Source organism: Homo sapiens, chromosome 11 (assembly GCF_000001405.40).
Source record: "Homo sapiens chromosome 11, GRCh38.p14 Primary Assembly".
In the NCBI taxonomy this organism is placed as follows: domain Eukaryota; kingdom Metazoa; phylum Chordata; class Mammalia; order Primates; family Hominidae; genus Homo; species Homo sapiens.
The window spans coordinates 119924702-119951360 of record NC_000011.10 but is presented as its reverse complement, the minus strand read 5'-3'; the positions used below and the strand labels follow the sequence as shown (position 1 = coordinate 119951360).

General features: G+C 48.8%; 1 long non-coding RNA gene across 4 annotated transcripts in view, besides 2 other annotated features; it reads right to left on the bottom strand.

The window, feature by feature from the left end:
• Nucleotides 1-198: 198 nt before the first annotated feature.
• Nucleotides 199-26659, bottom strand: part of LOC105369526 (uncharacterized) — a 45817-nt gene continuing 19356 nt past the window's right edge. For 2 of the 4 annotated variants that reach the window (XR_948080.3, XR_948082.3), the window contains 8 exons: nt 21705-21826; nt 13202-13294; nt 7672-11869; nt 6306-6553; nt 5229-5592; nt 4828-4946; nt 1823-2001; nt 199-688 (listed from right to left, as the gene is read on the bottom strand). This is a non-coding gene — a long non-coding RNA (uncharacterized LOC105369526). The remainder of the gene's footprint in view (nt 689-1822; nt 2002-4827; nt 4947-5228; nt 5593-6305; nt 6554-7671; nt 11870-13201; nt 13295-21704; nt 21827-26659) is intronic. The other 2 variants (XR_948081.3, XR_948083.3) reach the window with 2 other exon arrangements.
• Nucleotides 7594-8793: an enhancer, noted in NCBI's record as "CDK7 strongly-dependent group 2 enhancer chr11:119813277-119814476 (GRCh37/hg19 assembly coordinates)". NCBI's record gives its function as "activates an origin of replication core promoter dependent on BRD2, BRD4, P300/CBP, MED14 and CDK7 cofactors, with strong dependence on CDK7, by STARR-seq in HCT116 cells {active_cell/tissue: HCT116}" and the evidence as "EXISTENCE:reporter gene assay evidence [ECO:0000049][PMID:35650434]".
• Nucleotides 14662-15467: an enhancer, noted in NCBI's record as "H3K4me1 hESC enhancer chr11:119806603-119807408 (GRCh37/hg19 assembly coordinates)". NCBI's record gives its function as "activates a minimal SCP1, AML or CMV promoter by ChIP-STARR-seq in naive H9 embryonic stem cells {active_cell/tissue: H9 hESC(naive)}" and the evidence as "EXISTENCE:reporter gene assay evidence [ECO:0000049][PMID:30033119]".

Genomic DNA, 26659 nt, shown 5'->3' with positions numbered 1-26659 from the left:
ACTACAAGTGAAACTGACAAAACAGACCTTCTTAATTATGTGCCAATAAACTCTATCATTCACTGTGGGCAGGAAAGCAATTTCCAGGCTTGTCCTTAAAGATGTGTTCACCCACCCTCTTCCTTGAGATTTTGCACTTCGTGACCTGCTCTTCCAGTGAGTTCTCCTTAAGACCCATTCACCTCCTGATGCCAAAAGTGCTGAGAGATAACAGCATTGCGACTTTATTGCTGCCTGAGTTCCCAGGCCCCCAGTTAGTGCGTAAAGAGGAAGCAGCATATATCTCAAGCACCTCTGATCGTAGCTGGCATGATGCTTGATAACAGAATTTCTCAAACAACAGGCCCAGGCTGGGGAATTTTAATATTGTCTCTCCCTACAAGTAATTTCCAATGTTTATGCTCTGTGGAGCCCCTTTCGAGTGTCAGAGCAGAACAAATGCCAGTTTTAATGGACTTGCTAAATCATAAAAACTGCTTGCAAAATTGCATCTGATTAAAACAGGAAAATGTTCCATTATTCAGAAAAATCTCCCTGCAGTGGCTCACGGGGGCGGCAGGAGGTGGAGAAATGTAGGGAGTGCCCAGATCCGATTGAGTTTTCTCTCCATTGGAAAAGACGTGGCCACGTTCACAGTCCTCCAGTTTCCTCCTCTCTCCTCCCCAGGTCCTCAGTCCTTCTGCCATCTCTGATGAAAGTGAAATTGACATTAGTCATTTTGTAATTAATTTATACAACAACACGCTATTAGCCAGGGCATGGTATGTGTGACAGGTACAGCCATTTAGGGTATGGTGGGGTGGGAGTGGGAGAATATTCTGAATACTCTGAAATCTCTGCATTGCCTCTCATGGGCTCCCACAGAGTAAAGACCAACATGGCAAACATCAAAAGGCCTGCCCTCCCCAGTGGGACCACACTCTCCTGGCTAGCAGCAACATGTAAAATGAAATTGAGTTATTCCGCTGAAAAAAGTCACACCCAACTCACGAGCCACACTATGTGTATTACTAGGGGAGTCTGATTTGGGCATTTAATATCAAGCTAGACAGGCAGGCAGACTGACTGACCAGCATCATGGCCAGGCATCACGACCAAGTATTCTCTGTTTAGGGAACAGTTCCTAAGTCTGGAGAGAAAGCAAAGCAAAGAACTGTCCTGTCCTCATGGAATTCGCAGTCTAGGGTGAGCAAGAGGACACAGTGGAAGAAGGAGCAGTCCTGGCCAGTTTAGGTCAGTTATCAAAGCCAGGATGACACGCTGGGCAGGTCCTTCCAGTGTCAGGACCCCAGGAGGAGTGTCTGCACTAATCAGGTGTCTCGGTTATCCAGCACAGTGTCTTATTTTTTTCCATGATTATGTGGGGTGGCTGGGCTCCACTGGCAGCTCCTCTATGCCACATGGTGTCAGGTTGGGCCATTCACAAGGCTGCATTTAGCCACGATATCCACAATGGCTTCCCTGACATGTGTGGCAGCTGGGGTGACTGGAGGGCTGGCCAGGCTTCTCCCTCACTGCACCAATCCATGTGATCTTCAGCAGATGTCAGTCTAGACTGTGCTTCTCCACATGGTGGCTGGATCCCAAGAAGGTGAAAGTAGGATCTGCCAGGCCTCTTAAGACTGAGGCCTGGACCTTGCCTGGTGTCACTTACACATTCTATTGGCATATTGAATATGGTTTGAAATAAGTGAGCCATCGACTAGGACATGGAAATTGCTTTTGTCATACAGAAAGTTTCATAGCAATGGTACTTGTGTTAGCAGGATTTGACTTGTAATACTGAGCACTTATAGGACCTTTGTGATTCCCAAGCACTTACCATACATTTGTGAAATGCACAGTGTAAGAAAAGTCAGTGTCAAAGCAAGTCACAAGACTGGCCTAGATTCAAGGGGAGGGGAAATAAATTTCACCTCCTGATGGAAAAGAGTGGATATGTACAGGGCTGGAGGATTACTGGTGATGATCTCTGCAGATAATCCATCACACTGAGGCTACCTAGGAAAAAGGGTTGGATTTGAAGTCAGCTGACCTGACTTCGAGTCCCATTTCCCCACCTCCCTAGCTGAGAGATCTTGGGCAAGTAGTGAGGCCTCTGAGTTGTGGCTCCCTGCTCTATGGAAGTCTCTTCACTGAATTTTTATCAGTGCGAATTTTGAGGGATCATGCATGGCAAAGCACTTTGCCAATCGTGGCCTAACTACCTAGATGGGGAAGGGATTGCAGTGGCTTCTACTCTCTCCCCATACCACTGCTTGTTGCCTTAGCTAATCAGGAGTCTTCTCTCCTTCTGGATCTTAAAATAGATTTTTTTTTATTTAAAATGTCTTAATTCCTCTTGGATTCCCATGATTTCCAGTTTTGCTTTCTGGCTCTGTTTTCCAGTGTTTCACGAGGATGCACCCCAGTCTCTCCCCATGGACTGCCATGAACAGTTGCACAATATTTTTCTGCATCAAAGCACCTGGCCTTGGGGGAACTAGGGGGCTGAACTTTGGCTGTGTTCTGCCCACCAAGCCATGCACCCTGGGGCAGAGCTGCATCTACCTAAAGGGGTCACTTGTCCTTGTGCCTACAAAAGCTCTGTGTGGACTGGAAGTGACCATACCTGGTGCCAGCCCTAATGGGGCTTGAGAGGCCACCAGTGGGGGCCCATCAGCCATCAGCACACAGACCCTCCCTGCTCCATGCTTCTTGACTGTCCAGGGCTGCATATGGTAGAGTCTTTTCTGTTTGACTCTGGGGTTCAGGGGTCCCCCCTGTTTACCCAGTGGCCTGCTTGACTTCTCTTCCCAGCCCTCTCAACCCCTCACCCGGCTGCTGCCTGTCACCCTCCATCCACCATGCTGCAGAAATTATTTTTATAAACTCCTCCTTGACTGAAGTGCCACTTTAAAGAATTTAAAACACCACTGCTGTCTCCTAATGAGAAGGAGAAGAGACGCAGAGGCACTAAATTCTCTAGAGCTTTCCTGTAGCGTTCTGATGTCGCCATCTCTGGAAATATTTCTCCTGCCACAACACACAACATATTGGCGGGGGAGCATCACTACGTATTTTAGAACCATCCCCTTGAGCACTTTGCAACCTTCCAGGATTTCTAAACTACACACTGTTGACACCTCAGACTTCAAAAGCTGAGGGTAGGCATGCACATTGGGACAGGATGCTGGGCTCTGATTTTAACCAGTGTTTGCTAGGTGCCCCCACGCACCCACCCCTCGGCTGGGCCCCGGGGAGGGAAGTAAAACCACACAGGACAAGAACATTGTTTCTGTCTCATCCCATCCTAGATGGGGTCCCTGATGTCCTGGTCTTTGGAAGGATGTCAGCTGCTCAGGTGCACAATGAGGGGAGTTCAACCTTGACTTCTGGAGCCAGCCGGACCCAGGCACCCTTAGCACCCTGCAGTTGCAACTCTACCATTTCCTATGCCAACCTGCCCTCATTGATCTAAGTTATTCTTTGTTTTCTGGACCTAATCCCCTGACTGCCTACTATTTGAAACCAGCCTCCCTGGCTGCACCCAACATCCCTCATCCTCATCCTCCCCTGGGGCTGCTTCTGCAGAGCCACCAGGCCATTGCCTGCTGAGCTGCAAGTATTATTTGCCACCTCAAACATCCACCACATGGCAGCCTCGCCACCTATGGAGCTCCTCCTTCCTCTCCAGATGCCCTGGGCATGGCAGTGGGGCTTCCAGATGCCCTGTCCCACCTTTGGAGCCAGACTCTGTAACTGGGTCCTTCCCTGCACCATACTGCCTGTCCCAGCTTCCTTCTCCTCCCCACCAGCCTGTGTGGCGGATGCCCCATCCAGTTCACCTCCTAAAATGCTCTTTCATCTTTTACTTCCTCTGCATCCACACCAAGCCTGACTTCACCCCGCCAACATCTATTGCTTGGATGAGAAAATAGCCCCTAATGCATCTCCCTGCTTCCAGCTCTGCCCTCTTGAATCCATTCTTCATAATGAAGCCAGAGGAGGTTTTCTAAAGCCACAGGCTGTCATGCCCTTCACCCTCTGGAACATTTCATGGGTGCCTTTCCACAGCCTTCATGCCACTCAGGACCAGCCCTGCCCAACTGATGCTTTATGACCCCTCCCTGCACCACACCAGGAGACTGAGTAGGTGCCGTTCCCCCGCCTGGTGACCTCTTTCATCTCCAGAATCTGAGTACTGAGTTCAAATCCTAATGCAGCTCATTACTAATGGTGTGAGCTTATCATTAGGGGAGGTTAATCCGTACCTGTTTCACCAGAAGAGGTTAGTTGAGATGTGATGTCTGAAGTTAATAATAATAGTAACAATTATGATAATAATGATGGCTAATATTTAGATTGTGTTGATTAAATAGACAAAATATTTATCCTCTCAAAGCCTCAGTTTTTCATCTGTAGAATAGGGATAGTGGGGTTGATTTGAGGCTTAAATGAAATAATGCTTATAAAGCCTTTACTATGTGCCTGGCATTGGCAAGTGTTCTTTAAAAGTGAGCTGTTGTTATCATTGTGCTGATCCAAATACCTGGAATTCTAGTCTGGCTCTCACCACTGTCCCACTGCCTTGACCCTTGACCCTTTCCTTACCTCACCTGCCTGGATGACTCTCATTCATCTTTTAGATGTCACTTCCACCTGGAAGTCCTCCTGGACTCCTTCTGTCTATGTTAGGCACCACTTCCCTGGATCCCTGCTCTGAGTGCTGTTGTAGAATGCACCTCTCACACTGAATCTTGATGGCAGTTTGCTGGTCTACTTGCCCTGCAGCCTGTAAGCCCTTGAGAGCGGGGTCTACATCTTCCTGGCGTGGTCATCTCATACCTGGGGTAACACCTGGTACTCAGCAGGTGAGAAGGAAACATTCAGTGCAGGAACCAGTGAAGGCCAGGTGGCCTCCGCACACTTGCTCCTTAGGGCAGGATCTTCTCTGTCCTTGAGGACTTCAAGGCAAGAATAATAAGCATCAAACAATGGTGAATGGTACAAGATGGTGCATGCATGCTTTACAGAATTAACAGGACAGACAATCAGCCTGCCTGCTCAGAGAAGGGAGCTATCACTGTTGGCATATTGAATATTGTTTGAAATAAATGGGCCACCGACCAGGATGTGGAAATTGCTTTTGTCATACAGAAAGTTTCATTGCAATGGTACTTGTGTTAGCAGGATGTGACTTGTAATACTGAATACTTATAGGACCTTTGTGATTCCCAAGCACTTACCATACATTTGTGAAATGCACAGTATAAAAAAATTCCAATTGTTAGGAGATTGGCAGCTCCAATTTCCTGCAGCAGTTCTTCAATTTTTCCTTGATCACAGTCCTCCACTGTGGCCTGGTGTTTCTCCTTCATGGCTCCTCTGAAGTGGGCATGGGTCTCTGGCCAGGAAGAACAGTGCCTCCTGGGACACAGGCATGCCCACCTGCCCTGGAGCCATGACTCTGTCTTTTCTCAGGACTGGAAAGGCTGGTGCACCTCAACATAGACTCTGGGGAAAGGTACCATTTTCTGTCTGGAAGCTCCTCCTCTGCTTGCTAGGGGATAGCACCATGTTTCAAAGCCAGGCCACTTCTATCTCTTTCTCCTGTAGAAGGGAACATGACAGACATGTTTCAGCATTCTTGCTGGGGACTTCAGGACACCCAAAGGAAACCACGTCATACTCCAGATGATCTGTCCCTGTGCACCCAACCCCAAAATGTACCATCTCTGTTTGGTGTGATCTGCCATGTGCTGCAGCCCAGTAGCCAGGGCTTCTTGTGGCTGTAGCCACCTGCCTAGCTCAGTTCCCATCTCTTGCCACAGAGAGCAGCCCCTCCTTCCCCACAGCCTGTATTCCACCCATCATAGGACAGTGCCTAGTGAATAGCAAGCACCATCTAAGCATTAGCTGTCATCATCGTCATCATTATCTTCTTCTTCTTCTTCAAAATCCAGATCTAGGCCAGGTGTGGTGGCTCACGCCTGTAATCCCAGCACTTTCGGAGGCCAAGGCAGGCAGATCATGAGGTCAGGAGTTCGAGACCAGCCTGACCAACATGGTGAAACCCTGTCTCTACTAAAAATACAAAAATTAGCTGGGCGTGGTGGCATATGCCTGTAATCCCAGCTACTCAGGAGGCTGAGGCAGGAGAATTGCTTGAACCCAGGAGGCAGAGGTTGCAGTGAACTGAGGATCGTGCCACTGGACTCCAGCCTGGGCGAGAGAGTGAGACTCCATCTCAAAAAGCAAACAAACAAACAAACCCCCCAAAATCCAGATCTAAGTTTACCTCTTAGGTTTCTGGTTAACTGTACCTAATGATAATGGATTTTTCTCATTGGAATTTTCAGTTTACAAAGCACTTTCACATCCATTCTCTTACTGCAGGCTCGCAGCACATCTGGGAAGTTGATCAGCTGCGGCAGGGCGTGCCACCTCCATTTTTCTGATGGTGAAGAATTTCTGAAAGGTCTAGAGCTTTGGCTCATGGTGTGTGGGTCAGAGTCAGGAACTGTGCTGATCCCAGGCTCAAAGCCTGGACTCCTGTGATGCACACATACTTCTTAGATCATGCAAGAAAGAAATTTTATCTCAGGACCCAGTACACACACTCACCCCACAAAAAGCTGAAACAAAGTTTTATAACATAATACTTTCCTTACTGCATGCAATGTGCACTGCCTTCCTCCTACTCCCCTCCCTTCTCCTCCACTCCTCTCCTGTCCCCTCCCCTCCCTTCCTCTCTCCTCCTCTCCCCTCCCCTCCCCTCTCAGCCCCTCTGCTCCCTTCCTCTTCCCTCCACTCCCCTCCCCTCCTTCTATTCTCTCCCCGTTAACAGGGCATGACTTTTCACTGCATATCTGGGACTCTTCCTACCCCATTCTCCCAACCCCCAGGTCTGCTTCTCACCTGATATTTCTTCTCCTCACCCACTTCCTCAACCTGGATTCACTACTTTGCACTTGCCTGTATGTTGCTTGGCAAGCATCTTAAAGCCCAGCGTGTGTCACTCCCAATATAGGTCATGAACTGGGCGAGGGTGGGGACTGTTTTCATGCTGCTTCTGTAGCCCCTCATGATGCCTGAGACATGTGGGAGTCCCCCGCCTGGACTCCGTGGACAGGTCTGGCGGCCCCAGTACATCCTGGTCTGGTGGCCCTAGCACATCCCAGCCTCTCCTTACTCCTCAGTGTGCTCCGCCCTCAGATCAGCCCTGCCTCTCCCGCTCTCCTCCAGGGCTCTCTGAAGGACATTAGCTGGACTCCTGACAGGTGTGTATCTCTGTGATTAATATAGACCCCTTTCAAACCTGGGAACCTGACACCTGCCAACTGTTTATTGGGCCGAAAGTATTGGAAATGCAGCATCTAGAGATGGCAGGACTCGGGCCTGGCCAGAGAAGGAAAGGAAGGGCATGGTAAGGAGGTGGGGGAATGGGAGGCTGGGGCTGGCAGCTCAGCTTCAGGGGAAGTATCCTGGTGCAACAGATGTGAGCTCTGCAAGGGACATTCACCACAGTGATGCTCACCCTGGTAGAGCAAACACTGGGAAGTCTCAGTGTTGGCCCCCAGGGAAACCATCACACCCACCACTTTCTCCAGTGAATCTGCCCAGAGGCCACAGGGCCAGTGCCTCTCATCTGGGCAGGATTCCTGAGGTTCTTTCAGAATATTGTTTTACCTTCATCATGGCCTGGAGAGGGAGGTATTAGTACCCTCCTTGCCCAGACAGAGAAACTGAGGTTATTCAGTGATATCAAGAAGATTGTAAAGACCAGAGGTCCTTGCCTTTCCCCCGACGACCACATCCGCTTAGAGCACTGGTTCTCGAGCTGGGAAGATGCCAATAACTCTGATGCTTGGGTCCCACCCCAGACGCTCTGCTTTAATGGATTTGGGTGTGGCCTGGGCCTAGCCCTGTCATAGGTAAGCACCACTAATGCACAGCCAAGGTTGAGAGTGACTGATTTAGATGCTATTAGGAGTGTGTGTGTGTGTGTATAAAAGTACCTTCCAGATTGACATGGGCAGAGGGGTAGGAAGGAGATCCCAGGGTGGGAGAAGATGGTGCAGGGGTCATGCCACCGTGGGGGTGGGGTTTGCTAAGAAGCTAGACAACACACTCCCACACTGTCTTTGGGATGTCATTGGCATTTCTGTGACCTCTATCATGTCCCAGTGAGTCATAGGTCACAATCTGTGCAGCAGAATATTGCATCAGATGGTTAGTATCCATGTTAGCATCTTAGCACCCTTCTCCCTGGAAATTCATAAAGACAGTAAGTTCCATGACGTCAGAGAATCTGTCTTTCTTGGTCATTGTTAGCCTTGGGAGTCTGAAGTGTGGTGGCAGCTCTGGAAGTGCCAGTGGAATGTTGAGTGGATGAAGCCCAATAGCTGAAGAACTTGCTTAGCCCTGTGTTACAGACAGGGACACGGATCTGGAGAGGGGAGAGTCATAAAGTAATGTTAGTAATAATCGTTACCATTTACGGAGTAATTCACATGGGTCAGGCACAATATGAGGTGCTAAACCTTTGTTAACTCTAATCTTCCAACAGCCCTGTGCATAGGCATCATGAGCTCCCATTTTGCAGATGAGAAAACTGAGGCTCAGGGAAGTCAAAATTTTGCCAGGTTACATAGCAAGTCAGTGATCAGTCTACACTGTCCCATGCTGCCCTAGAGCTATAGCAAGCTGGAAACCCAGAGGGTTCTGGCTCTCCTCCTTCTTCGCACTCAGGCACGCTGGCTACCAGATGAGTTTACATTCTCTTTTTTCCCCTCTTCACCAGCTTTTGGATGATTAATAAATTTCAAAGCAAATCATGCAGGGATCAGCACAGACTTCTCATTTCTATCAACAGTGTCTTCTCCAAGAAACAGTGGAGAATGGTCTTCAGGGAGGCAGCCACCTGGACTGGAGGAATAAAGGGAAAGTCTATTACCGAGAAGAACGTGCACTTGGCCCCATGGGGATGGGCTGCCTCTGACCTCAGCGTCCTTTTTCATCTCTAATTTCTGTGATTCTGGGATTCAACATAAACCTCATTCCTCATGCAGCGCCCCGAGTGGCAGTGGAGTTGAACTTTCGTTAAAGAATGTCAAGGTGTTCCATCACGCCCGCGGTGATTAGGAAGAAGGGTGAAACGGCTGATCTCTGAGTTGCTGCTCTCCCAGTTGCAGGGGCTGAAGACAGATATGTAGCTGGGTCTTGCTCGCCGTCCCAGCCACTCACAGCCAGAGGCCAGGTCTGGCCCTCTCTTGGCCACACAGAGCATCGGCTGACCTGGCCCAGGTGCCAGGGGAGGAGCTGACCATCAAGCAGAGGGCCCCTGCTCTCAGAAACTCTGTTTTTTGCTCCCTGCTTTCTCTAGGTGCCCGCTTTTTCTTAGGCTCTGACTCATTTCTCATAGGTCAAAGGTTAATGGATCCAGATTCAGAGTGGGATTCAAATGAATTTCGCAGATAGGGGGAAGTTGATGGAGCTGGATTTAGGTTGGATTCAGGGCTGTGTGGCCGGAGTGTGGCATTTCTGTAATCTGGGACCCCAATGGGGCTGACTAGTCAAGCTTCTAAGCTGGGCCAGGAGGCGGTGCTGGGCCTGCTGACCCAGCAGGAGGGCTCCTGACTTGAGTTCAAGGCTGGTCATGACTTTGGTGACCCTGGGGAAATGACTCAGCCCCTCTGATCCTCAGTTTAATTACCCATAAAGTGGACGCCATAATAATAACCACCTCATCTAATTAACATGGGAACCACCTAGCACTAGGTGTGTGACAGCATTTTGCCAAGTGAAAAATACTACACAAATGTTAGTTTGGCTTTGTGCTTTTAAAATGCCTCCCTGATTAAGAAAAAAAAAATTCCTTCTCCTAAAGCCTGAGGCAAACACATTCCCCACGCAGGGTTCCTTCTACTTTTGCCATGACCTTCGTCCACTGTGTGTTCAGGCAGTGTGGGGCACCAGAGAGGCTGTGGCTGAAGTTCTCAGATCGTCACATCCTGTGACCTTGAGTCATGCCCTTTATCCTGGTAGACGAGACAGGAGCCATCTGAGAAGCTCTGAAAGAAAGGAGGATCCACAGCAGGGAGCTATGGGGTCCCAACCCCTGCTTAGCCCATGACCCAGTCCAGCAGAGGTCCTAGCTCAAAGGTTAGCACCCTGCCGGCTGCAGGTCCAGGACAGAAGGCCGTCTCCAGCAAGGTAATTCCTGGACCTTGTGCATCTCTTCGAGTACATCTCACTCATGAAGTTATACCTGGGCCATTGCCTTTTGAGGGGCCCCAACAGGTCTGAATGGATCCTGATGGGCAAGTGGCCAAGGGCATCTGAGTAGAGGGGGGGGGATTCAGCTGACTTGAGAAACTTGCTCTCTTTGCTCTATTCCTAGGTGCCAGCTACATACTGGTACCAGGCTGGGCTCTTGGGTGAAAGGATGCCCTGGACCTTAGGCCCAATCCTGGGCCCTCCTGGCTGGGTTTCCACCCATAAGTGGCCTCCTTCGTGGCAGCTCCTGAGAAACACTGGAAGAGGTGCAAGTGTGGTGTGAAACGCTGAGCTATGAATGACTCCAGAGGCTGCAATTAGCTGGTTCTCAGCTGCTGTATTTTTAGACACAAATATTGTCACCAGACGCTTTGCAGCCACCGAGAAGCCTACTCCTCTCAGGAGGCCCCTCTTCTTTGGCAGGCAGGAACTTCCTCTTCTCAGGTAGAGCTGGGATTCCAGAACTACCTGGGCCTTGGAGCAGGTGCTCCCTCTTTAGCACTGAAAAACTCAAGGGAGGCTGAGGAGGGGCATGGAGCTGGGAACCTGGGTACTGGCTGGCATGTCTGGCCCTCCCACAGCCTCACTTGGTGACTGGAGATTCCTGAAGCCCAGAAACAGCGCAGATGAGCTCCTTTCTCCTTGTGCCTTTATGCCTATCATGTGAGTGAACCGAGAAAGGGCACGCCTAGAGGGGGAATTCTAGGTGGTGTGTTCATCTCTTAGGCACAGAGTGATATTTCATGAGGCAGAGAAGCAGAAGAATCTTTGATGATCCATTGACTCTATTGCCTAACTTTGCAGATGGGAAAATTCAGGCTGAGAGAGCACTGGCTTGTCTAAAGTTTTGCAGCTAGTCATGGAGGAACCAGGAAACAGACTCAGGGCCTTGTGTGAAGGGCCTGTTTTCCTGGCACTCTGGATCATTCCAGCGGGGGAATAGAGTGGCCCTGTAGTCATGCCAGGCTCAGGGCATTCTGGAGCTTCTTCAGGTCTAGAGAGATGTCCAGCTTCATAGAGATTTATGCAAGTGTTCTGGTTTTCGACTGCTGCATAATCTCTCTGCCCCCGACCCCCTCCAAACAAATGAATAAACACCAAGTGGCTTAAAGCAACAATTTACTATTATCTTCCATAGCTCTGTGTGTTGACTAGGCTCAGCTGTGTGGTTTTCATTGGGGTCCTCATACAGTTACAGTCACAGAAGCTGGATGGGACAGGACATCCATGATGGTTTCTTTGCTCATGGGTCTGGTGCCTCAGTTAGGGTGGCAGGAATAACTGGGGACTAGCTGGGCTTCTCCCTCAGTCTATGCAGCTTCTCCACATAGCTAGCTGGGCATCCTAACAACACGGCGGTCTCAGGGCAGTTATGCTCCTTACATGCTGGTTGGCTTCCCCCAGAGTGAGCCCTCCACGAGGTCTAGAAAGACTGTCCAAGGCTGCTTGTAACTCAGCTTCAAAAGTCACACAGCATCACTTCCACCACCATCCAATGGCCAAAAGCAAATTATGGGGCTAGCTCAGATTCATGGAAAGGGCAGCACACAAGGGCATGGTTACTGGATGGCATTTTTGGAGATGGCTACTGCAATTAAAAACACACAACCTAAAATAAATAAAGAGGTGAGTGAGCCATTTGTATCACCATGTCAATAGTTTTCTACATAACTTGACTCTCCAAATTAACGCATTGTCCAGTGCCTTCCTCCTCCTACTCCTAACCCCTCACTGTCCACCCCTAAAGCCATATATCTCCTTCTGCTATTCCCCTTTGCCACCTCATTTGGCTTTTTGGAAAGAGAATGGACTTTGAGGTGAGACAGCCACACATTTGAATCTTGCTGCCATTACTAGCTGTATGAACTTGAACAGTTCAAGCCTCAGTTTATCCATCTTAAAAGTGGAAAGAATTATAATGGTAACCATCTTATCTCTGTACAAAGCCACTGAGGTGATGACAGATGCTTACACATGGGTACCCTTCTGGCACAGAGAAGTCCATCTGAGTGCACCCAGCCTTTATTGGTGCCTCTTGGAGAATCCAGCACTTGGAGGCAGCAAATTCACAGAGAGGCCACTCCCAGATATGCCCCCAGATCTTTCCTGATTCACACCACACTGAGCCTGTGTCTCCACCTGCTATTCTCTGCTCCTGCCACAAACAGCAGCCTGAAGAAATAGGGAAAAATTCAGTCTCTCAGCTGGTTGTTTGCTTCACTTGATGCTGACCACCTGGCTTGACCGATTTCTCCCCCTCTGAAGGTCAGGATATCTGAGAACTGCATTAGGCTCAGCTTGAGTAAATGTCATTCGTTTTAGAACTATTGCCTGATTTCCTTTAACTCAAAGGGATCTGGAGTTGGTGTTAGAAAGCCTGGTTTGCGTCCTAGCTCTGCGTGCTATATGACCCTGGCCAAATCTTTGAGCTCAGCTTCCTCATCTGAGAGATGGGGATGCTAATGCTTCTTTATTTCTGATAAAATGAGATCAGGCATTTTTTAAATTTAAATCTACCTTTTTAATGGACAAATAATTGTATCTATTTATGAAATAATGCATTTGAGAGCACCTTGTGGACTGCAGAGGGCTATATGAACACAAGGGATGTTTTATGATTGAAATGACTGTTTAGGCCCAACATGGAGAGGGAGGGAGGGAGGAGAGGGGTGGGGGAGAGACAAGAGAGAGAAATCTTCACAGTAACCCTATAAAATAGGTTACTAAGATTATTCCCACTTTAATTAAGAAAACTGAGCCTCAAAGGCATGAAATCACTTCTCCAAGTTCACACAGCTAATGGTAGAGCTGAGATTTGAACCCGGTCAGATGAGCCAGAATCCAGTCTGCAGTCACCGAGTGTCCACCTGTCTTGCCAGGCACTGTTGGCCCCTGCAACAAAAGATGAGGAAGACCCAGTCTTTGTTCCTAGGCAACTTACCATCCGGGAAGAGGATTCCAGCTGGAATGCATGTCTTGGACTTGTTATTAGAGACAATTTGGCCTCCAGGTGAATTTTCTTGTCAGTGACCCACTGAAACGAGAAGTCATCAATAAAGAAAAATAGACATTACCGACTTGACCAAAGCATACCATTTTTAAATGTATCCATCCACAAAATTACATTTTTTGGAAGATAGCCCGTGTTTGCTAAACATCTGAGAATTGAAAAAAAAAAAAAACTACCCATGGCACAGAAGAAAAATAATACAAATGTGTTTGCAGTGCTTTATGGCTTGAAAAATGACTTCATCAATTCTCACTGAGTTTCATACTAAACAGGCGAGGGAAGCAGAACCGTCTTTGTGTGATGTGCACGCCGGGTGGTGGATGCTTCCTCTCTGCCATTTCTAGACCTTCTTGGGTCCCCTCTCTGCACCTGGAGCCCACCACTTTCCTCCTTTTCCACCCTTGTTGCCCAACACACCTGCTGTCTTTAGCCAACAGAGCACAAATCACATTTTGCACATTTCAACCTTGTTGCTTAGACCATGGAAACAGTGGGGACAAAGGACAGCTCTCATGGGAACTGTGGTGGCTGTGCATTGAGCCCTCGCCATTTACCAAGCATTGTGCTTTGTGCTAGATAACCATGACTTCATTTGATCCACAATCAGTGCTATTATTATTCCCATTTTCAGAAGTGGAAATAGAGGTGGCAAAGCTCAAATAACTTGCCAAACCTACATGGCCAATAAATGGCGACACCAGAATTCAAACCCAAGCCTGATACCATAGCCCATGGCCATAACAATTACATTACACTGTCTCTGCTCAGAAGAAGGCACAATGAAACTATTCTGGAAAGTATCAGTACCTTTGTCTTGGGGACCTATGATGTGGAGTAATTTCATTAATTCAGTCACTCATCTTTTCATCTATTGGTTCATGAATGCATGTATTGATACGTACAACATACATTAACTCTCCATCTGGGGTATATTTCTGCATGGTGGTTGAAAGTGTGGGCTCTTGAGTCAGATCCCAAGCATTCAAATCCCAGCTCTCCCACTTACTAGCTGTAGGACTTTAAGCAAGTTCCTTAATCATTTTGTGCCTTAGTTTGTTTGTAAAATGTAGTAATAGTAGTTACCTTGCAGGGTTGCTGAATGGATTAAATAATACAAATCAAACACTTGAAACAGTTTGGGGCACGTGGTCATTATGCCAAAAATGTTAGCTATCATTATTATCACCTGTAGTAGGCACTGTGTTAGGTGCTGTGGTAAAAACTATGGCACGAGAGTGAGAAGTGGCTCTATTCTATGGGTAATAGGGGGGTCACTGAAAGTATTGATGGGATTTTGTTTTAGGAATTTTACTTTTAATCTGGCAGCAGAATAAGTTGGATCAAAGATGGGAGACTGGCCAAGAGGCTGCAGTAACAGTGTCATCATTCCAGGCTCATCTATGATGGTAGCAGAAACAGCTGCAAAACGCATTCTGAAAGAGGATGCGGCAACTGGCTGGACTGGGGTTGCCACACGGGGAGAGCGATGACCTAGAAAAGTGAGGTTTCTAGCCTGGAGGAATTGGAGAACTTAGAGCCACCAAGACAAACAGAGAACAGAGGAGGAGAGGCCACCAGGAAGGAAGATGTCAACCAAGTCTCCACTTCTGCTGCACTGGGAAGGGGAAGCCGCCCTTGTCTGCTTGAGCCTTTGGACTGTTGTCAGGAGCCTTGGCCTCTTGGGAACTGGCCAAAGACAACTGTGCTCACAGGGTCTGGACCATGAGGCTTGAGGCCCCCAAGAATCCCCAGGACAGGCCCAGTTTGAAATTTGGCTTTCCCACAGTGAACCGTGGGCTTCATCTACATAAGCCATTGTCATTCTTAGCTCCATACTGCCCCGTCTGCTGTCATGTTTATGGGGCCAGATGCCAAAAAAGGAGAACCATTATTGAGACCCCTACCTGCCCACTGGGTTGAAAGGCCCGTTTCATCCCTGAGGAAGTACAGGGGCCAGGGCCAGGAAGCTCCTGTGGGTGTGGCCCACATCTCCACCCACATTGTGCCCCAAATAGGGAAGGCTCTTGCCCTTCTGGGAGAGGCACTTGCAGTGAGTGGTGCTGAAGACGGAGCCCTTGAAGGGCCAAGGATGGAAACTTCAGGTCCAGTGTGGCAGATGGTAAAGCGAGGACAATGGGAAGAACATAGCCCCAGGTTATTGGACCCCAGCGTGGTGAGCGGCACCCTGGCTAGCTCTCAGAATGGCCCCTCTGCTTTCCTTATAGACCCAATCCCCAGCACAGCACCTGGCACTTAGTATGTGCTCAGTAAGCCTACTGAATGAATGAGTGGGCAAACGCCAGGTTACCAAGCTCTTTCCACTTGGGGTAGGACAAGGGGAGGTGAGGGTGGGTGGGAAGCCTGACTGCACACCCTGCCCTGGTGGGGGAGCGGGTGTGAGAAGTAGCTGAGCTGTCATCGACTGGCTGCCTATTCATGAGCAGAAAGCAGAGCTGCCATCCTGGGGGGCCTGAGAGGGTTGGGGATGCAGGCGCAGCATCCACCATGTCAAGGGCAGCTGGGGTGGGAGGATTTCCAGGCTGCCTGCCAAGGAAAACCAGCCTGCTGGCCAGCGTGGCTCCCAGGCAGAGGTTGCAGACCCTGGGATAGATGGCAGTGTAGGAGATGCAAATATATGCAAATGATGGCACAACCATTTTCTGGGTTCCCAGAGAGAGGATATTAACATCCATCACTGGACAGCTGGCCTCTGGCAGCAAGGATCCCAGTCATTACCCCACCATCCTGTGGCAAATGCCCCCAAACCTCCCTAAAATCATGCTGGCTTTGGGTCTCCCTTTGGGCCAGCTGGAGACAGAAGGATAGAGCAGCCACTGAATCGCAAATGCTCTGTGTTGTTTTATTCATGCCACTGTGGTCTGGGATGAGACCGTGACCTTAGATTGGGGTCTGGAGTGTGAGCTCCAGGTCCCTCCCTGAGGATAGGTGGAAGCTGGGGAGGAGGCGGTACAGCTGGGGAGCTCTAGTCAGGCCCCTCCTGCAGGAGAAGGCAGGCAGCTGGGGCTCCTCAGCCTCAGGGAGACCCATTTCACCCTGAAGCCAAAGAGGAGGTGAGCTAGAGGTCAGAACAAGGACCCTGCACTGCCACGGACCAGAAAAGGTGATGAGAAATGGCCTTAGTTGAGGAGTCTGAGCAGAGGACAAGGATCTCTGATGGTGGAGGAAGAGACAGAGGCTGAAGACAGTGAAGAGAGTCTGCAGCGAGACCAGCTATGTAGAGAGCAGTTGGGCCAGGATGCCCTCACATGCAGTCCCTCCCTCATTCATTCATTCCACAAAGGGCATCTCTGTGGCAGGCTCTGTACTTGCCCCTGAGCAAGTAGCAGCAGACAGGGCACAGCCCCTCATCTCATGGAAATGAAGTCTTGTGGAGAGAAAGGATGTTAGGCAAATCATTACGAGTTCACTGGGTAACTGAAGCATAAAGGCAGGAGAACAAGGCATGTCTGATATAGTCTAGGGCAGCAAGGAAGGCCTTCTGGATAACCCAATGCTTAAGTCAAGACCTGACAGATAAATAGGAGTTACAGAGTTACTAAATGGGAGGCTGGGGGTGGCGGTAGAGTGGAGAGGCCATTCCAGGTAGAAGGACTAATACGTGCAAAGGTCCTGTGGTAGGAAGAGGCAGAAGGCTCCCTAGAGGCTGAAAGAAGAGCTGCGTGGCAGGAGCAATTGGGGGGGCATGCAGGATGAGGGTCAAGAGTGGTCAGAGGCCAGGGCACGCTACAGGGCATGTTCAGGGCTTTGAACTTGATCTTGAAGACAATGGGATATCACTCAAGGTTTTTAATCAAGGGGGTGGCATGATCCGATTTATAGTTTTGTGATGTCCTATAGATAGATGCTGGAGAATGGATGGAGGGAGGGGAGAGCTATAAAACTTAAGCCCTTGAATGACATGTGCGATGCTGCCATTGTCATTATAGGATGAGATATTGCTGGATATGAGAAACGAGGAAAGAACTTGGAAGTTAGGAGTGAAGTCCAGAGAAAAATCACTTCGTCCTGGTCTTCTGGTGGTGGCATAAAAAAATTAGCTACAGTCCCTAACCAGGCGACAAACCACACTGAAATTTCTGTCCTTTTCTTGTTTTCTTTGCTTCTGCTCAGAAGAGGAGGGATGGGGGACTTCTCTGCCTGTCTGGCCACTTGCCCTGGTTCTTAGCATTCAAAAGGCCTTGCTCCCTCCCTTGGTTCTTGATAGTTCTCACCTCGGCAGGGCCGAATCCTGGAACTGTGCCTTTGACAGAAACCGCCATCGCCTCCAAGGGCTCATCCTGCTGTGGCACACACCCCCTGCCAAGAAAGGCTCCAGGGGTAATGGAATGGGCTATGTTCCTTGTTTTGTGACTCTGACATTTGTCCTTCCCAGGGTCTTCCCTGCTGTTCCAGGTCCTCCACATTCCTGCCTTGGGGGCCAGTTTTATATTCCAACAAATGCAGATTGCGAGGAACAAGATTGGCTTTCAGAGAAGTGGTCCCTGGCCAGTGATATCTTATTCTGTAGTTATAGACAACACAGACAGGGATGTATATGGGCCGTAAAAGAAAGAGACAACATGTGACATTTAATTCAAGATTAAAAGAAATCATCAATTGGAGCTGATTGTGCTCATCCAGATGTCACCAGAAACAGCTGTATGCCATCTGCCAGAGAGGGTGCCACCAGCTGGAGCAGCTCTCCTTAAGACCCTGGCTTTGCTTTGCTTTGCTCCACAGCAGGAAGGCAGAACTGAGGTTGGAGGCCAGCACGAGTGACAGTGGAATGATGAAGGCAGCGGCAGTGGCAGAAGCTGGGAGGAGGAGCAGGAAGCATCATCCCCCACCCCAACTTCTCTGTCTTGTTTATGCTAACAAAGACGAGTAACGAATTACTGATAACTGGCGTCTTTTAAAGGGAAATTATTCAAGAGAGCAGGTGAGATTCTGCAGGCATTCATCTTTCCAGCTCCGGGAAGCTGGCTGGGAGATGGGAAAAGGTGAGAGAGATGATTCATGGCCCAGGCCCTTCATCCATCACGGGGGTGTCCTAGGCAATAGGGGAGCAGGATTGATGGGTCCCCGGTCTCAGGTTGGCAGTGTGGTGGGATTCCACTGGCTCCACCTCATCAGCCAGGCCAACAAGGCTGAGAATCAGTGGGACCTGAGTACCCAGCCCCCATGGGAGGCCAATAGCCTGTCAGGGTGAGGGATGGGGCAGGGGATGGGTTGACTGTGCCCTCACCTGGGTGCAGTTAGAGGGAAATGCCCTCACCTGGGTGCACTTAGATCCTGGAGAGGGGAAATTCCTGAGTCATGGCAGGCTAGAGATCTTGCTAAGGCCATGAATGCTAAGGCCAGCCTTCTAAAAATGGGGGTAAGAACACTGGTCTTGGAGTCAGAACATCCAGTGTTAGGCTCGGCCCTGCCCCCTTCCCGACCTGGCCCAGTTCCATAAGATGAGTAGCTCAGAAATTGCAAACCTATGGGCCCCTGTGGGCAATATTCAGAAATATTTTATTTGACCTGCAGTGTTGGCCCACATCACGTTTTAAATCTGAATTGCTTATCAACTTCAAAAGAAAATTCAATAAACTAGCTTTCTTGAAAACAAATCAGAAGATCGAGCAATTGGCTGGGGCTGAGTGCAGCTGCTTTCTTTGGATGGAGCACATACCCTCCTCTGGGCCATCGAGCCCATGATCCCCTGATCACTCTAGCAAGCCCTTATTTTGCACCCCCTTAGATCCTCTCAGCTTCGTCTGTCTCTAGCTTCAAGGGCATCTGCTGCTACCGGCTCTTGATGGGCTCCAACTAACTTCATGCACGTCAACCAGCTAGTGCCTTGCTCCGTGCCTGCACGGTCTGCCACCATGGGCCCCTTGCCTCATATCCCTGGGCTTCCCTTTTGAAGTGCAGGCATTGAAGAATCCCACTCAGCACCCACATGTGCACAACCTGAAAGTGCTATGGGTTAATGACCAGTTTGACAAAACTTTGATTAATGGAAAATAGGAGTTAATGGAAAATTCTTCCCTCTTTCTCCCTCCCGGTAGATGCTTCCGAGGCAGACAGTTTCTTGAAATGATCTTGCAAGATTGAACAATCAGTTGCATTTGGCCGCAGACAGCTCAGTAATGTGCCCTCCTCGTGGTGGCTCTGCCCCTCCCTATCTTGCTCTCCTTCCTGGGATTGTGTTCCCTAATAACGGAGTAGCACAGAGGACTTTGCCTCAGCCTTTGCTTTCTGGAAAACCCAAGAGAAGACAGTTGGTGTCAGGAGTGGCTCCAGCAAGCAGCCCTCAAAATGGGATTCTGGAGCTGGATTACTCACTGGAGTTCTGGCAAGAAGAACCCCATCCCTGGCGATAAGTTGGGTGGTGATAGTCCTGGCATGCAATGACATCAGGGTTATCCGAGCTATCACCTGTAGAATACTGGGAAGAGCTGCAGGTAGAAAGTGAGGCCTTGGGGTAGAAAGCCATGGCCTTGGTGCTTGAACATTGCACGGGGTTGGATAGAGGAAGGAGGTGGGGGAGAGAAGGCTGCCTGGGGGAGAATTTGTGACACTCACTCTTGATGTAAGCCCTTGACTTGGATTGAGTGTTAGGACCTAGAACTGGTCTGAACAGTGTGATAGGATGGCATCTTAGAGCTTGGCCATGACAATGGTTTAGAGCAAATGAGTAGAAATACCAGAACCTCCTCAGCATAGGATTGAAGAAGGGGTCAGAAGACGCAGGGAGGTAGGAATTTTAGGATGGATTATCTATATAGGACCTGGGAACTTACCAGCTGGCTATTGTTATGGATTGAATTGCATTCCCCCAAAAGAAACATTGAAATCCTAACTTCTGGTGCCTGTGAATGTGACCTCAGTCAAGTCTTTGTAGATGTAATCAAGTTAAGATGAGGTAATTAGGGTGAGCCCCAATCCAATATGACAGCTGTCCTTCTAAGAAGAGGAGAGGACATTCAGAGAGACACAAAGAGAGGATAGCCATGTGAAGATGGAGGCAGAGATTGGAGTTGTGCTGCCACAAGCCAGAAGCTGGAAGAGCAAAGAGGCTTCCTCCCCTAGAGTCTTTGGAAGGAGCATGGCTCTGCCAACACCTTGATTTTGGACTTCCAGCCTTCAGAAATGAAAGAAAATACATTTCTTTTGTTTTGCTTTAAGACACCCAGTTTATGGTACTTTGTTAGAGTAGCCAGGGGAAATGAATACAACTTTCTACAGGAGTACCCAGAGGATCCTCCTCCCCAAGGCAAGAAGGGATGCCCTGGTTCAGGGTGGGGAGCACAGGCATCTCTGAGAAATTCTGCAATGGCCGCCATCAGTAGGCTGAGGCTGATGATAGAATTGTGCTCTGTGTGATCAATGGGCAGGACAGGATTCTGGCAGAACAGAGGCCAGGTGCTGGCCCTTTAACACCAGAGGCAACATGAGTAGCAAGCTAGAGAAGCAACCAGGGAACACAGACCTGCAGAGATAGTTGACGATGGCTAATCAGCCATGGTGTGGGACAGATGGACAGCTGCAAGGGAGTTGCTTAATTTGTATAATTGTGAAAAAATATCAAGAAATGGCAAGCAGAAGGATGACATCAGACCCTCACCTGGTCTCCAGATCTAAGTCAGTTCACAGACCGAGCATCCATTGAGAGAAGAAGAAGAGGGTCCCCTTGAGGAAGGACCACAGGATGCCATCACAAGGGTATAAGATTTGTATTCCTCCCATCCTTTCCCAAAGGGACCTACAGCCATTTGCTAGAGTGACTGCATGGAAGGAAGGGAAATGCCCATATTTCTAAGGACTGGTAGATACCTGCAGTGACCTAACACTGGCACTGACAATAAGGGGCTGGGTGATAAAGGGACTTGGGGTCTAAGTCTGTTCTGCAGTGGGTCCTGTGGATCTGTAGACCACCCCGTGGTCATTCCTCCAGTCCCTGCAAGTGTATTTGGATAGATGCCGGCAGAACCCTCCCATTTGATTCCACAATCCATGAATAAGGGGCCATTCTGGTAGGATGGGCCAAGTGGGATACCCTGAAACTACCACCCTGCTCAGACAAGATTGTAAAATGGAAGAATTATTGCCACATTATAGGAGAAATTTCAGAGATTAGTGCCCTCGTTAAAAACTTAGAGGATGTAGGGTAGGTGTTTCCCATCACATCCTCATTCAGCTCATCATTCTGGACCTGCTAAAACCAAATTGCTCATGGGGAATGACTGAGGACTCGTATAAACGAAACCAGGCAGCAACCCTGATTGCAGCTTCTGTGCCAGATGTGGTAATTTTACTAGAGCAGGTCAAATAGCCTCTGGCATTTGTAAGAGGCTATTGATCAAGCAAATGCCTTCTTCCCCATCAGTAGGGAGGATCAAAGTCAGTTCATCTTCATATGGTGGGGACACATTTGTTGTCTTACCCCAGGGCTGTGCTAACACTCTTGTTCTTTGTCATAGTGTAGTCCAAAGGGACTGTAGTCATCTTCAATTCCGCAGAATATCACACTGGCTCACTGTATTGATGACATCAAGCAAATTGTACCTGGTGAGCACAAAATGGAAAGCTTGGAGATTTTATTAAGCACTTGAGAACAGGAGGTAGGAGATAACTGAATGAAAATCTAGGACTATGCACATAGGTGATGTTTTTAGGGGTCTAGTGGTTTGGAGCATTCTAAGACCCACACTTTAAGGTAAAAGACAAACTGTTGGATTGCATACCTCCTTCCACTAAGAAACAGGCACTGTGCTTAGTGGGTCTCTGGATTTTTGAGGCAGTATGTAGCACATTTGGCAACACCAATCTGACTCAATTTTGGGGTGACTGGCAAAGCTTCTAGTTTTGAGTGGAGCCCAAAGCAAAATAAAGGTCTGCAGGGGTTTTAGCCACTGGTGCAATCCAACACTAGGGTTGTATGTCCCAGCAGATTAGACTCTCTAGAGGTATGTGAGGTGGGTGAAAATGCATGGGGAGTCTTTGGCAGAGCCTCAATAGAAGAGAGGTAGTGAAAACCCCCTACGGTCTGGAACAAGGCCATGCTTTCTGAAGCACCTTTTGGTGTGGGCCCTGGAAGAGAGAGGGACCATGCAGCACCAAGTGACTACAAAACCCGAGCTACTCATCAGGGGCTTCTTCTCGAATCCACCGAGTCATGGAGTCAAGGCAATAGAGTTCCCTGTATGGTGGAAATGGTATCTTCAGGAAGAGGCCAAGCAGGACCAAAAAGCACAAATGAACTAAATGAACAGATCCCATGTCAATGACCTCTATTTCACTAGCCCTTCTCCCCTAGTTCATACCTATGGACTCATGTGGGGTTCTGACCAACAGAGGTGGAAAATAACTTGTATCTGGATAACAAATAGGCCAGCACATTATGTTGGTGAGAACACAAAATGGCCCTAAGATCAGTAGTGATGAAAAATCCTATCAGTGGGCAGTGCCATGAGCAGTAGTACACTTGGTTGTCCACTTCTCAGAGAGAGAAATGCAGCCTGAAAAATCCTATCAGTGGGCAGTGCCATGAGCAGTACACTTGGTTGTCCACTTCTCAGAGAGGGAAATGCAGCCTGAAACATGGATTTACACGGACTCCTGTATGGTCGCCAGTCACCTGGCTTCTAAGTCAGGAGCTTAGAAAGAATTAGATTGAAAGATCAGGGAGAGGTATGTAGATGGGCCTATGGTAGTGGAAATAAAGCAACAAAACATGCAGATCATGTATCTCCCACTAATGCCAGAAGCATTGATGGCAGAGGAAATTCTCACCGATCAGATGGAAAGGATGATTCATCCTGGGGATGTCAGCCAGCTTCTCTTATCAGCCACCCCATGCAGATGCAGAGTGACTGTGACAGAAAGGATGGAGGCTACGCATGGGCCAACATCATGGGTTCCTTCTCACCAAGACTGATCATGCAGCTGCCACCACTGAATACGCAAACAGGCAGCAACAGAGATTCATACAGAGACCTTAATGTGGCACCGTTCCTTCAGGAGACTAGCCAGCCACTTTGTGGTAGGTTGACTGAATCAGATTCCTTCAATGCTGGGAGGGGCAGCAATTTATTCTTTCCAGCATTGGTACTACTCTGGGAGGCACAAACTTCTCAAGCAGGTCTCTAGGAATAATGGTGGGAGGGTAAATCCCACTTCTACCCCTGCCTTCCTGTCCACAGAGCCCCCACCAGTACCACCATCTGAGAGTCTACAAAATACCTAGTTTCTTGCCATGATATCCCATATGACATTGTCTCAAACCAAGAAACCCAAGTCATCTAAGGAGGTGTACCAATAGGCACATGGTCATGGGATCCACTGGTCTTATCATATCTGAACCCCATCATGCTAAAGCAGCCAGCCAAAGACAGTGGTGAAATGTCCTATTAAGCTAAGGCACCAACTCAGGGAGAATACATTGCATATATTGCATCCTAAAGGATGTGCTAAAACGATGACCCACATGTCTCTAATAGGTAGAGCACACACAAGTGGGAATCAAGGTGTGGGATTTACCCTCCCACCATTATTCCTAGAGAACTGCTTGAGAAGTTTGTGCCTCCTCTCCCGGTAAACTTAGGCTCTGCCAGGTGAGAGGTCCTGATTCCCAGGTGATGAATGCCAGAGGACAAAGGGTAGGGGGTGCTACTGAACTTGAAGTCACGACAATTACCTAGATACTCTGGGTTCCTCATGCTGGTCGACCATCAAGTAAAGAAAATAGTTACTATGTTGGCAGGATTGATTACCCTGACTGCCACGAGAAATTAGGGGTGTTGCTGCTACTCAATGGGGGCAGCGGGGAGTGTGTCTGAAAGCCAGAAGATTCACTGGGGCATCTTTTGCTGCTTCCATGATAATGATAACTGTGACTCAACAAGGGCAAAGCCACTAGGAGCCTGGACTCTGGAGGGATAAAAAACCAGGTCCCTTTGGAAGGCCGAGGCGGGCAGATCATGAGGTCAGGAGATTGAGACCATCCTGACTAACATGGTGAAATCCCATCTCTACTAAAAATACAGAAAAATTAGCCGGGTGTGGTGGCACAGGTCTGTAGTCTCAGCTACTCAGGAGGCTGAGGCAGGAGAATTGTTTGAACCCGGGAGGCGGAGGTTGCAGTGAGCCAAGATCACGTCACTGCACTCCAGCCTGGGTGACAGAGCGAGACTCCATCACAAAACAAAACAAAACAAACAACAACAGCAACAACACAAACCAGGTCCCACAAGGTCAGCGATCCACACCAGCCAAAGTGCTGGCCAAAGGTGAGGAAAATCTAGGATGGAGGGTGGAGAAAGATGGTGATGTTAAATTGCAGCCTCAAGACCACTTGCAGCAGTGAGACTGTGGCTTGTTTCACCAATCCTCTTACCTGAACTCTTTACAATTATTTCTGTACCCACAATCCTAGCACTTTAGCAGGCCAAGATGAGAGGATCACTTGAGCCCAGGAGTTCAAGGCTACAGTGAGCTATGATTGTGCCACTGCATCCCAGCCTTGGCGACAGAGTGAGACTTTATCTCTTAAAAAAAAAAATCTAGCTAACTACCATCTTGGAGGAGACTCTGTGACTGGCTGTATTTGTACCTTCCCCTTCAGAAAAGACGTGAAGCTCTCTGTTCACAAAAATGGAGGCCTCACTTTGTATTCTGAGTGCCAGATGTGATGGAAAGTCAGGGTGGATGGAGTAGGGCTGGGGTGGATCCTATGAGCCATTTCTTAGGTGGATGGAGTAGTGCTGGGGTGGATCGTATGAGCCATCTCTTAGGTGGATGGAGTAGTGCTGGGGTGGATCGTATGAGCCATCTCTTAGGTGGATGGAGTAGTGCTGGGGTGGATCGTATGAGCCATCTCTTAGGCACCTTTCGTTCTGCTACAGCAGTGAGCAGCCCTGCATGGGCTCCAACAGGCATCATGCAGTGAGTTACTACCTGGGGGGGTCATGCCTGGTGTCTGGGCTGCCCACCGCGTACCTCTCACCTCCAGCACTGTAGACACCAAGACATGGGATGCCAATGAACATATTTGGGCTGTCATGGATTAAAATCCAGAAGTGAAGGTAAGTTAGTGCTTAGTGGGGCCAACCTTTGGCAAATGGGATATCGGAGCTGGTAGACAAATCTTCCTTCTTTCTCCCCTGCCCCCACCACCTGGACAGTTTTCGTAGCTTCTTGGGTGTATTTCCACAAGATTGAGCATGAAGTTGCCCTCGGTGGTGGCCAGTTTGATAATGCATCCTCATATTGTCTCTCTACCTTTCTCTGCCTCACTCCCCTGACCTCATACTCTTGCACCCCAGAGACAATTGTGGCACACCAATGAGCCTGTATCTCAGGCTCTGCTTTCTGGGGAACCCAGGTGAAGACACTCTCCAACATTTAAGATGGATGTCAGTTGTCACGCATCATGCAAATCCCAAATAACTCATTTACGCTGCCTTCCTGGTCCTTGTGGCATTTGAGTTGAGATGATCTCTTAGCTCCTCTGCTCAATCAATTTACAGGCTTATGTTTCCAAGAATCAAGGGTACAGATTCTGCCACAAACTCATTAGTCAAATGCTTCTGCTGCCTGGGGACTGTCTCCTGGCTTTCAGCTTTAAAGAGTGAGGTCCTGGGATTTGTTTGTCTTGGATTGCATTTTTAGGGAAATCCCTCTAGGGTTTCCTAGAATTAATCTGTCCCCAAATGGGATGCTCTTTCACACCTAGAAATCATCTGAGAAAAGGAGGGGCCAAAAGGAACCAGATTACAGAGGAGAGATTTGGAGAGTAGTTGAGAGAAGTGGGATGAGTTAAAAGAGCCTGTACCACCAAGAACTTGGATGAGCTCTAGGAAATCTGTTTTAGGAAATAAAAGCCAGGCCTCTAGAGTGTTTCTGAAATCTCTGCATGGGGTCGGGAATCAAGGCTCTGAAAAGCAGCCGACATGTTTGGAAGGCCTTCAGAGAGAAAAGGAGGCAGGCCACCAACCTCCTTCAAAGGGGGGTTAGACCACCAATGCCAGCAGCAAGTATCCGCTTTAGCCAAGTCAAGCATTTGATCAGCACATGCATTCCCTCCACTTTCTGTAAGGTACCGACTCTATCTTGGGAATGAGGAGGAGAGAGCAGAAACTCAGATTTGGATGTGACTTCTGCCAAACTTGAGCTTTCAATGTATTTATAGGCAACAAACCCAAGACAAGGAAATTGGTGCCGTCACCAAAAGCGTGGTGCAGAAAGTGGGGTGATGTGGTCAGAAAGGATTTGCCAGAGGAGGTGGGCGGGGCTACTGGACAGCCACAGCTCTCGTCCAAAAAGTATTTACTGATTATCTGTGATGCATGACGCAGTGTTCTAGGCTCTGGGAGGGTTATGTAGGTGGGTATGCGGTGG